General features: G+C 39.6%; 2 long non-coding RNA genes across 2 annotated transcripts in view; one reads left to right on the top strand and one right to left on the bottom strand.

Annotated features, from left to right (window-relative positions):
- Positions 1 to 3,712, bottom strand: part of LOC124904263 (uncharacterized) — a 37,941-nt gene extending 34,229 nt beyond the window's left edge. The window contains exon 1 of the long non-coding RNA XR_007066308.1: positions 3,455 to 3,712. This is a non-coding gene — a long non-coding RNA (uncharacterized LOC124904263). The remainder of the gene's footprint in view (positions 1 to 3,454) is intronic.
- Positions 1 to 12,150, top strand: part of RBBP8-AS1 (RBBP8 antisense RNA 1) — a 210,274-nt gene that overhangs the window by 131,823 nt on the left and 66,301 nt on the right. The window lies entirely within an intron of this gene.

Raw genomic sequence — 12,150 nt, 5'->3', positions numbered from 1 at the left:
TTTAAGAGATAGGGCCATACTGTTGCCCAGGCATGAGTGCAGTGGCACTATCATAGCTCACTGTAACCTTGAACTCCTAGGCTCAAGCAGTCCTCCTGCCTCAGCCTCCTGAGTAGCTGGGATTACAGGCATGCACCAGCATGCCAGGCTAATTTTTAAATATTTTGTAGAGACAGGGTCTTGCTGTGTTGCCCAGGCTGTCTTGAACTCCTGGGCTCAAGTGATCCTCCCACATTAGCCTCCCAAAGCACTGGGATTACAGGCAAACACCATTGTGCCTGGCCAAAATTAGATTATTTTATCATGTTTAATTTCCATTCTTCATAAAGAAATGGAGAGTAAGGTTTACATGGTTATTATGTTTTAAAAGATTTTCTAAAAGAATTTTGCATATTAGAAATTCTGTTTTTATGACCTAAGTATAATTATTTTTGGGCCTAAGCCTGAACTACTTTCAAAAGGCAATTTTAAGAAACTCTTAAAAAGATAATACTAAAATTTAAGGCTCATTGCTTGTTATTTCCTACCAGATCAGATTTCTTTAAACAGGAGAGGAGGGTGAGAATAATGAAATGAGCTCATTTTTTTTCTTAGAAAGAAAAAGTCACAAGGACCTATTCCTGTAAGATGGAGAACTCCATTTTTACATCTAAATCTATTTTGTGTTTCTGATTGGCAAAGGACTACGATAAATCCTCACAAGATTTGATAAATCCCCACAAGATCCTATTACAGCAAGTTCTTGGACAAATGCTTATCTCTAATTAATAGTATTTTCATCCATACTGACTATGTGATTGTATGACATAGCTTTGCAAATGGTGTGATACCCTGGTAAAATTAAACTGATTCAATATAATGATTTCCCTAATGAATTTGAGGATAGTCCCAAAGATAGAATCCAGAGAGTCAGCTGATGTTATTTAGGAAAATGGTTTTTATGGTCCATCCAGGAACATGTCATCAGATTTCTGGTACGGATTTGTTTCTTGGAGATGGAAACCAATCCCTTTCTATGATTAACCTTTGGCCGTAAAAGTTCTTGCAATTCTGTGTCTGTTTATGGACAAGAGGAAATGGCGAGGTGTCATAGTCTCTGCAGTCAATCCAATCACCTTTGCTCCTCTAGGACCAAAACAGACACAGCTAAGTTTACATTTTATACTGGTTCATTTTTCCTTCTTAAGTTTCTCTTTTATTGCGCAACTGGAAGAAATGGGTCATTTTATGTTCTCTGGAACCAAAGATAAATTCCCACTTGTTCCCATGACTCCCAGCAGATATCACAAGACCTCTGTCTACTAGACCCTGCCGAGACCGTGGCAACCCTGTGGCTGCCCGTCCAAGCATGCCCAGTGTTTGCTGCCACCACCGCCACAGCATCTATGGTCTTGGGTGCTGGCGGGAGAACATTTTGCATCAGAAACCATGGCTGAAGGTGATCTCGCTAAAAAAATCCTGTCCTGTATGTTACCTTTCACTGTTTCCCACAACTGATTTAGAGCCCAAGGAAAAGGATGCTAAGAGCTTGGGTTCTTTCTCACTGCAAATCTGTGAGCTGGTACTCTTAACCAGCTTTAACTCTTAACCAGTGAGTTAACTCTGTGAGCTTTAACTCTTTACCAGTCACTGCTTCCCCGTACAACCAGCCTGCTTAACCTAGAAGTAAGGGAAAAATCACTCCTTTGCTATTACCCTGCTTTTACCTGACCCCAGACCCCCAAGTCCTAGATATTAAAGTGGGATTTAAAGTCTTTTTTTATTGTTAAATTTGTAGCCAAGGCATGTAGAGGTGTTTGTTCCCTAGTGGGTGGCAGGTTGCAGTCTAATTTTATTTTCATTTTCAAGATTTGGTTTCAGGGCTTAATGTGGGAAATTAGGTGATCATGAATAGAAAGTAATTGTGCAACCATCTATGTCTGATTTATTAAAAAACAAAACTCTGAAAAGGAAAATCACAGCAGTGCCTCATAGTTGTACTTCTATGTTAATATCTGTTTGTCAAAAAGCTTTTCCCCTTTGCACATAATAGGTGATATAAAAGTGTTTCCTAAAATCTCAAATGTAAACTATACCAACAACATGTTCTATTCAGAAATCTGTTTTAGAACAGCTTTTGCATGTTAATGATAAATTCATTTCATTATTAGATTTTTCCTATAATTAGAGATATCTTTTAAAAAGTGAAACAATACCTGCCTCTTAATAAAGTCTTCCTCTTTGTTGAATGAACTAACAAATGAAGACTTCAGGGAAGACTAAAACCATCCTCTACCAAATTCCATGGTATGGCTTGGGACTAGATTGCCTTTGGCTCTGGCAGAACATTATAATCCCTGGAGGGATCTCCTGAATTTAGTAAATGCCTCCTGTGAGTTGAATGACACATTTCTTTGCTAGTGGGTGGGAGTATTCCTACGGTTTTTTTCAGCGTGGATAGTGCCAGGAATCCTAAGGGCTTTGCTTTCAAAAGCAGACAAATAACTCAGTTTTGCAAACCTCAGAGGATCAGTAAGAGAAAGTGACCCAAGCCCCAGAGAAAAAGCAGGGATGTTTAAGGATAGAACCATCCCTTTATTTATCCTTTTATCTCATTCCAGAACCATAAATCTCTTCGCCGTCTTGGATTGCCTCCCTATAACAACATGTGGTAGAGATTTTGGCCCAAGTACTAATTAAACCTGAAGGAACCCCAAGGGGAAAACTCAGTCTTGAGTCTCCCTCTGGTGGACATTTGTAGTAATCCACATACAGCTCTGTCAAATGAAGGGACGAATTTCAGAAATAAATATTCAAAGAATAGTAAACATATTCTAAGACACCAGCACTATGCACTATTATTTTCTATGCATTAATTAAAATTCTTAAATTATTCACCTCTATAATCTTCTGTTTTATTTCCTAGAATTTACCCTCACTTTGAAAATCTGAGCTGGATGCAGTGGTTCACGCTTGTAATCTCACCACTTTGGGAGCCCAAGGCAGTAGGCTCATTTGAGGCCAGGAGTTCCAGACCAGCCTGGCCAAAATGGCGAAACCCTACCTCTACTAAAAATACAAAAATTAGCTGGGCATGGTGTTGAGCGCCTGTAATCCCAGCTACTCGGGAGGCTGAGGCAGGAGAATCACTTGAACCCGGGAGGCAGGAGAATCGCTTGAACCCAGAAGGCGGAGGTTGCAGTGAGCCGAGCTAGCGCCACTGCACTCCAGCCTGTGTGACAGACCGAGACTCCGTCTTGATTAAAATAAAATTTAATAAAAAGTTTAAACAATTCCTTGAAACAAAACAGCCTAGAGTCCCCTCACCCCAGCGCTACAAAGTAAATGAAAGAAGTAAACAGTTTGTCCATCTCCATTTCCATTCTAACACAGAACACCAAAGCAGAGATGATTTAAAATTTGCCATTTGTAATTAACTGCTGGGCAGGATTCCACTGGAAAATTTCCCTCTCACCTTTAACTTGAATCCAGAGGAGGTTTAAGGTGTTATCAGCTCTTCCTCAGGGAAGCTTCCACGCAGGAGGCTTTCTTTGGAGCTCTGTTCCCTAGGTAGCTCCAGGATCTTTGGACTTTTCTTGTGCTTATATAGTTAATGGCCCTCTGAATTGCTCTCTTCAAAAGGGGAACCGTTTGAACTTGGGGGGCGGAGGTTGCAGTGAGCCGAGATCTCGCCATTGCACTTCAACCTGCGCGACTGAGCAAGACTCTGTCTCAAAAAAAAAAAAAAAAAAAAAAAAAGGCCAGGGGCGGTGGCTCACACCTGTAATCCCAGCACTTTGGGCAGGCGGATCAGGAGGTCAGGAGATCGACACCATCCTGGCTAACACGGTGAAACCCTGTCTCTACTAAAAATACGAAAATTAGCCGGGCATGGTGGGCGGGCTCCTGTAGTCCTAGCTACTCCGGAGGCTGAGGCAGGAGAATGGCGTGAACCCGGGAGGCGGAGCTTGCAGTGAGCCGAGATCGCGCTACTGCACTCCAGCCTGGGCGACAGAGCGAGACTCCGTCTCAAAAAAAAAAAAAAAAAAAAAAAAAAAAAAAAAGGAGTAGGGGAGACAGTGAAGAAATGCCTCTCCATTCTTCAGATCTGACTCTTGCTCACGTTCTTCTGTCGTTACACTCATCTTCAGGCTCAGGCTCCATTTGATGTGCTCTGGAGTCTGATATTTGAGCAGGACTCCTTATTCCTCCGCCAGTGAATCTTCTTCCCACTACCAGATTCACAGGCTAGTGTTAATTTCTCTTTACGTATTTTACTATTTTGAAGTTTGTAAGGTTAACCGTAGTTCCATTACTTAAAAAAAAATTCTTTCCCTTAAATAGACAATCGCTATATCCTAGTTATAACTGGTAATGATCTCGGCTTGTAGTACACTTAGGTTTACATAAATGTCCTTTTCTGATACTCTTGCTCCCTAACTAGAATCTAACACCATCTTTTAATTTTTTAAATTAATATACAACAAAATTGACTTTTTTGGGGAGAGTTTTAGCTCTAGAGGTTTTAACATATATAAATTCATGCAATAACCATCACAATCAGGATACAGAATAGTTCTATCACCCAAAATACTAACTCATGCTATCCTTTTATGGTCCTATCCTCCTCCACCTTAACCCTTGACAACTACGGATGTGTTCTCAGTACCTATAGTTTTGCCTTTTCCACAATATCATATAAATGGAAACGTATAGCATATAACCTTTTGAGACTGGCTTAGGATACTATCTTTGATAATTATTCATGTTGTTGTGTGTATCTGCTATGGACTGAATGTTTATGCCCAACCCCAACTTCCTATGTTGAAATCCTAACCCTCAATGTAATATTAGGAGGTGGGGCCTTTGGGAGATAATTAGGTTTGGATTGTGAGGGTGGAGTCCTTCAACGGGATTAGTGCCTTTATAAAAAGAGGAAGAGGCCGGGTGCCGTGGCTCACGCCTGTAATCCCAACACTTTGGGAAGCTGAGGTGGGCGGATCACGAGGTCAGGAGATCAGACCAGAGACCATCCTGGCTAACACGGTGAAACCCCGCCTCTACTAAAAATACGAAAAATTAGCCGGGCGTGGTGACGGGAGCCTGTAGCCCCAGCTACTCGGGAGGCTGAGGCAGGAGAATCGCTTGAACCTGGGAGGCGGAGGTTGCGGTGAGCTGAGATCGCGCCACTGCACTCCAGCCTGGGAGACAGAGAAAGACTCTGTCTCAAGAGAAAAAAAAAAAAAAAAAAAGCTGGGGAGGAGACACCAAATAGAACTCATTTTCTCCTCCTTGTCAGGAAACCATGAGAAGGCTGCTCTTGGCAAGCCAGGAAGAAGGCCTTAGCCAAGAACCGAATTGAATCTAAGGGCACCTTGATCTTGGACTTCTCAGCCTCTAGAACTGTGAGAAATATGTCAGTCATTTAAGCCATCCTGTCTATGGTATATAGCAGTCTTGACGAAGACAATGTTAATAGTTGGTTCCTTTTTGCTGCTGAGTAGTGTTCCATTGGATGGATGCTCCACAGTATGTTTATTACTATTTACTCATTGAAGTATATTTGGGTTGTTTCCGGATTTGACGATTATAAATAGTTTCTATAAACATTTTAGTTTTCATTTCTCTAGGGTAGATAACTAGGAGTGCCACTGATGAGTCATTGGATAAGTACATGTTTAATTTGATAGGAAACTGCCAAACTGTTTTCCAGAGTGGCTGTAACATTTTGAATTATCACCTCTAACATATGAGAGTTAAGTTGTTCCATCCAGTATGTGGTCTTGTCGTGATTTTTTAGTTTAGTAACTCTAATAGGTGTGTAATAGTATCTCATCCTGTAGTAGTATCCTGATTTGCATTTCCCTAAGGGCTAATGATATTGAACATTTTTTCATGTGCTTATTTGCTATTCTTACATCCTCTGAGGTGAAGTATCTGGATACAAATCCTTTAATGGATATGTAATTTGCAAATATTTCTCCTGCTCTGTAGCTTGTCCTTTAATTCTCTTAACAGTGTTTTTCACAGGGGAAAGATATTTTTAGACCTTATTCTTTTTTAAAAAGTTGTGACATATATATATATGCCACTATATATGTATATTTATATTTACATATATAAATATATGAAATTTATATAAATTTATATATATAATATACTTGTATATTATAGTTATAATAAAATTTGCTATTTTAACTATTAAGTATACAATTTAGGGGCATTAATTATATTCACAGTGGTGTGCAACCATCACTATTTCCAAAAGTCTTTCATCACCCCAAACAGAAACTCTGTACCCATTAAACAATAACTCTTCATTCCCTCCTTTTCCCAAACCCCAATAACCTTTATTTTACTTTCTATCTTTGTGAATTTGCCTTTTCTAGGTACCTCATATAAGGGGAGTCATACAATATTTGAGTCTGGCTTATTTCAGTGTTTTCAAGGTTCATTCGTGTTATAACATGTGTCAGAATTAATTCCTTTTTAAGGCTGAATAACATTCCATTGTATGTATATACCACTTTTATTTATTCAAATGTTGGCCACTTGGGCTGTTTCTACCTTTTAACTATTGTGAAGAATGCTGCAATGATCATTGGTGTACAAGTATCTGTTTGAGTTCCTGCTTTCAGTCCTTTTGGCTATATACTTAAGAGTGGAATCACTGAGTCATATGGTAATTCTATGTTTAGCTTTTTAAGGAGCTTCAGAGGAAAGAGTCTTAATTTTAATGAAGTTCAATTTATTAATTTTCTTAAATGAATTGTCCTTTCAATGCCATGTTTAAGAACTCTTTGCCTAATCTTGTTATGAAATTTCCTCCTATGCTTTTTTCTGAAAGTTTATAGCTTCTGTTTTACATTTAGCTCTATGATCCATTTTGATTTTATATCCATATCTATATCTATATCTATAAATTTTTTTTTTTGAGACAGAGTCTTGCTCTGTCGCCCAGGCTAGAGTGCAGTGGCACGATCTGGGCTCACTGCAAGCTCTGCCTCCCGTGTTCACGCCATTCTCCTGCCTCAGCCTCCCGAGTAGCTGGTACTACAGGCACCCGCCACCACGCCTGGCCAATTTTTTGTATTTCTAGTAGAGATGGCGTTTCACTGTGTTAGTCAGGATGGTCTCGATCTCCTGACCTCGTGATCCACCTGCCTCAGCCTCCCAAAGTGCTGGGATTACAGGTGTGAGCCACCACACCCGGCCTTGATTTAATTTTTATATAAAGTGTAAGGTTTAGGCATGGGTTAATTTTTTGCATATGGATGTCCATTATTCCACTACCATTTGCTGAAACTACTGTCCTTTGCATGTTAAAACATGCAAAGGACAGTAGTTTGAATCCCTTTGCATGTTAAAACAAATTAATTGATTATATTTGCGTGCATTTTTATTTTGCCCCATTGATTTTTGGCTGGATCCCTTCTCTGATAATATGTTGTCTTAATTACCATATGTTTATAGTAATTTTAAAATCAAGCAGTGTGAATTCTCCAACTTTGCTCTTTTTTTTTTTCAAAATTATTTTGGCTATTGTAGTTCCTTTGCCCCTCCATATAAATTATATAATCAGTTTGTCTCCACCTACAAAAAATTCTGCTGAGTTTTGATTGGAATTGTGTTTAATCTGTAGATCAGCTTGGAGATAATTGACATTTTGCATGTATTGAGTCTTCTAACTTTTAAACACAGTATGTGTTCCATTTATAGCTTTTTAGCAAACACAACCTGGACACTTCTGTTAGATTGTTACCTGAGTATTTAATTTTTTTGGCCATATTCTTAATGATACTGTTTTTAAAATTTTGGGTTTTAATTGTTCATTTCTAGTGTTTATAAATCAGATTGATTTTTGGTATGTTGATCTGGTATCCTGAAAACTGGAATAATGGACTCCATGAGACATAGCTAAATTGAGATATCCTGACAAAACTTTAGTTAAGAGGAATGGCAGGCAAGGGGTTGCTGGTTCCTGGAAGCTGTAGAATGGACCAGTGGGTGAATGTGGAAGAGGGGAAGTGTCCGGGAATGGAGTAGTGGAAAGGAACTCACACGTTTCCTGTAAGAGAGCCTACATTTAAGGACTTGCAGAGTGAAGACATCAAGGAAAGTCCGTGTTAACCAGAGGCAGTGAAAAACTTTCACTGTGTCCAGTTAAATAGATACCTGCCCCTTTCCTCCTTCCTCCTCCCAGTCCTGACACACTGAAGATGCCAGAGACTTGAAGAAGGAGAGTCTTTAAATCAGAGGATGAGATTGGATTCTTGCATTGGCCTGTTCTAAATTTTGAAAACCAAAAGTAAGTAGAAAGTTATCAGTTAACAGAGATTTAACATAGCATCGGAGAAAAGATAAAACCACTTCATGCTATGCAAAAACTGGCAACACTGACTTAGAGCCACTTATGTTTCAACCTTGGCAAAGATGTCGCTTCTCCAGAATTTTATCCTCTATACTGGATTAAGTATCCCTCTGATAACCTCCTATGGTCCTGTATTTACCCCTGTTTTATCACATTTAACAAAGTATTTAAAACTCCTGATTTATTCTGTATATTATTGGGCTGGCAAGTACTTTGAGAGCAGGGCCTGTGTTTTGTTTGCTGGTGTGTATACAGTGTCAGCATGTTGCCTACCACCCATTAGACATTAACTAATATTTACAGTAAATTAAATGTATGCAGATAAATTGCATCCTGCTATAAACTGTCCTATCATCTCTAAAATTCTGCAAGTTTTTCCATAAATAAGAAAGCTTTCTAATTAAAACAATGCAGGGAGATAGTTTTTCAATGCATGATTTTTTTTTTTTTTTGTCATAGCTGACCGAAGATGAAATGGACTATATAGGGAGGTAATGAGTTCTCTTTCATGTTTGGGGGTGGGGATGATCTTCATATCTAAACTGAATGGCCACTTGATTTGGACATTTGTAGTGATTCAGATTAAAGGCAGGACTAAGTCATCCTTAAAGTTCTTTCCAACCCTGAGCTTATAATTCATGTTTACTATGTTTAAAAATAAATAATAGAACTGAGTGCAACATTCAACTCTTGAGTTAATGCCGAGGCTCTCTAAGGCTCATCTTACATATTAGCAAAAGGAGAATCTAACAAGCCAGAAATATCCACTTATGAAAATGTTTTAAAGTAATTGGCCCATTTATGATAATCCAACTAATGTATTTTATTCGTTTTAATATGAATATTTCTTATGAGTAATTATTATTGCAGCACGGGCGTGAGTCTAAATTAGATAGGGAAAGAGAAAGCTTTGGAAGTCAGTGTTAGGCAAACCAATTGGAGAAATTTTAATGTCATATGAATCTCCTGAAATCGTGTTAAAATGCAGACTCTGGCCGGGCGGGGTGGCTCATGCCTGTAATCCCAGCACTTTGGGAGGCTGAGGCAAGTGGATCACCTGAGGTCAGGAGTTTGAGACCAGCCTGGCGAACATGGTGAAACCCCGTCTTCACTAAAAATATAAAAATTAGCTGGGTGTGGTGGCAGGTGGCTGTAATCCCAGCTACTCGGGAGGCTGAGGCAGGAGAATTACTTGAACCCAGGAGGCGGAGGTTACAGTGAGCAGAGATCGCGCCACCGTACTCCAGCCTGGGCAACAGGGTGAGACTCCATCTCAAAAAACAAAAAAACCCAAAAAAACAGATCCTGTTTCAGTGGACCTGGGGTGGGGCTAGAGATTCTATATATCTAACAAGCTCCCATGTAATGCCCATACTGCTGGTCCATGGACCTCACTTTGAGCAGAAGAGTCCTAAAATGGTGTTTACCAAACTTTGCTATTTGCATAAACCTCATGTGGGCAAATGTAGACTTCAGGTTCTTGTCCCAGAACTACTAAATCAGAATCTCCAAGGGAAGATCCTGGGATGTATATGTCTGATAAGTGCCCCGAGTGATTCTTACATCAGGCAACTTGGGAATCAGTGACCTAAGAACGACCAGGTCTGCGTTTGTCATCTCAGCCTCTTTGGGGGAGAAGCGAACCCCAAGGTGCTGGTCTTGAAGGGTTGATGGAGAGCTGAGGGGAAGAAGAGCGGTGATCTCAACTTTGGCTGCATTTTAGAACTACCTGGGGGAACTTTAAAAAATGCTCAGAATCCTTGAGGGTGAGACCTATGCCTCAGTATTTTTGAAGTTCTCTGGGTGACTCCAGTGTATAGACAGTGTTGAGAGCCATGGCAGGAAAGGGAGGTGGCTGAGCCAGGGAGAAACAGCCAGCTGTTCAGGAAAGAATTATTGAATAGAATGAAGGACAGATGATTTATTTAGTTTATAGGTATGTTCTTTATGCATCAGCTGACCTCTTTTTAATACTGGCTTTCTATAAATGTGGTTTGAAAATACTTTGTACTTTAAGGTAAATCTTCTTTTATTTTCTTTTACTTTTGTGATTGAAGAAATAGGAATTCCATGTCTCCTTTCCATCCCTCCCACTGCATGCTTCTTTCCCCCAACACATCATTATTAACAGACCCTGATGGGAGAATGCAATGTTAACCGAATTAAATACAGAAAAGGCTGGAAACCATCAAGAAAGGCTTGCTGGCAATGAGCGTTCTCAGCTAGCAGAGTCCTTTTTATTCACTAACCAGCTGGCTTTCTGTGGCCATCAAGCTGGGCACTTAGGACATCTGATCAACTTGGAGCTTCTAGAAAGGTGTGGACATCAACACAGGAAAGTGTCTAATGAATTTTTATTTTCACTTCCCCAAACCAACCTACCACGAAGCAGAGAGGACCTGTTTTCTCATATCATCACATCTGATGGATATGCCAAACTTCATCCAAATTCAAACAGGCACACCCTGGTGAGATTTACACTTTCTTCTTTAGTAATTTACTGCTTCCTTCTCCTGTAAATCTAGTAAACCAAATAACAATGGAGTGAGGGGAGAGAAGGAATTGTTCTCATCTTTAAAATAAGAAACACCATGTTTTGGCATAAAGCAGGGTGAACTTGCTACTGTAAACATCAGCAATCCTGTCACAGACAGCTGTGCACTGGTGGGCCCCCCCTAACCCCGGGAAATGTGTACACAGTTGAGACGTACATACTGGACTCAGGCAGCAACAATGGAGAATAGGACCTGGAGGTCTTTTCCCAGGTTTTATCTGTAGCAGGCATCAATGTCTAATATAGTAAGTCAGCTACTAAGTTCTCCCAGAAAGAGTCTGGCTTCCTCTGTTTGTATGGAATTTCCTCCATTGTGTGGCTGAAGAGAGATCCAAGTCCACAAAGAACAACAGTATGGGACTGGATTAATGTCACCTGTCGTTCCATGTCTGCTCTGCTTCTGGGGAATAACACACTTCAAGCAATACAAAACAATTCCAAACAACTTGAGAGCAATAGCTTTTAATTCCCAAAGATTTTTTTCATTAAAAGATAGACTTATGTATTATTTAAAAATGATAAGAAAATGTCATGAGCTTTACTGATGCCTTCAAAACTAAGTTGAATACCTTACCATGCAAAAGTTGTTTCAGAAACGATTATGAACACGATTTTAAGAAGTATAAATGTCATTATTGTTTCTGGAGGTTGAAAACAGACATTTGGATTTTTTGCACTGAAAAATATTAGAAAACAGCTTGGATTTTATAAACTTACTTGAAAATAATACAGCAGTATTATAAAAACATAATAGAAATGGGAAGTAATAGATTATTGAAGCATAAAGTCACAGGTGTTAGAGCCAGAGATTCGTTAAAGATAATCTAGTCCAGTGGTTCTGAAAACTGAGGGTGCATCAGGATCCCATGGAGAGCTTGTTAAAGCACCTATTGCTGGGCCTCACCTCCAGAGTTTCTAATACAGTAGGTTTTGGAAGGGGGCTGAGAATTTGCATTTTTAATGAATTCTCAAGTGGTGCCGATGATGCTGATCTGAGGACTACATTTTGAGAATCTCTGGTTTAGTGCTGTCTCATTGTACAGTTGAGGCAGCTGAGTCCTGAAGAAGTCAAATGTCTGAGCCTCCTTCTTAAGCCTGTTCCTGTCTAGGGTAAACACTTCCACTTGAGTACGAGGTACTATCCACTCTCAAGGACACCGTTTTAATAATTATCCCTTCTCCTGGCATCAATATCTCGTGGTATAAATTCTTTAGTTAACTATGTTAGTCAGCCTATAAACATGCT

The sequence above is a fragment of the Homo sapiens genome, chromosome 18, assembly GCF_000001405.40.
Source record: "Homo sapiens chromosome 18, GRCh38.p14 Primary Assembly".
NCBI lineage: Eukaryota > Metazoa > Chordata > Mammalia > Primates > Hominidae > Homo > Homo sapiens.
This window is presented reverse-complemented; position numbering and strand designations above follow the sequence as displayed.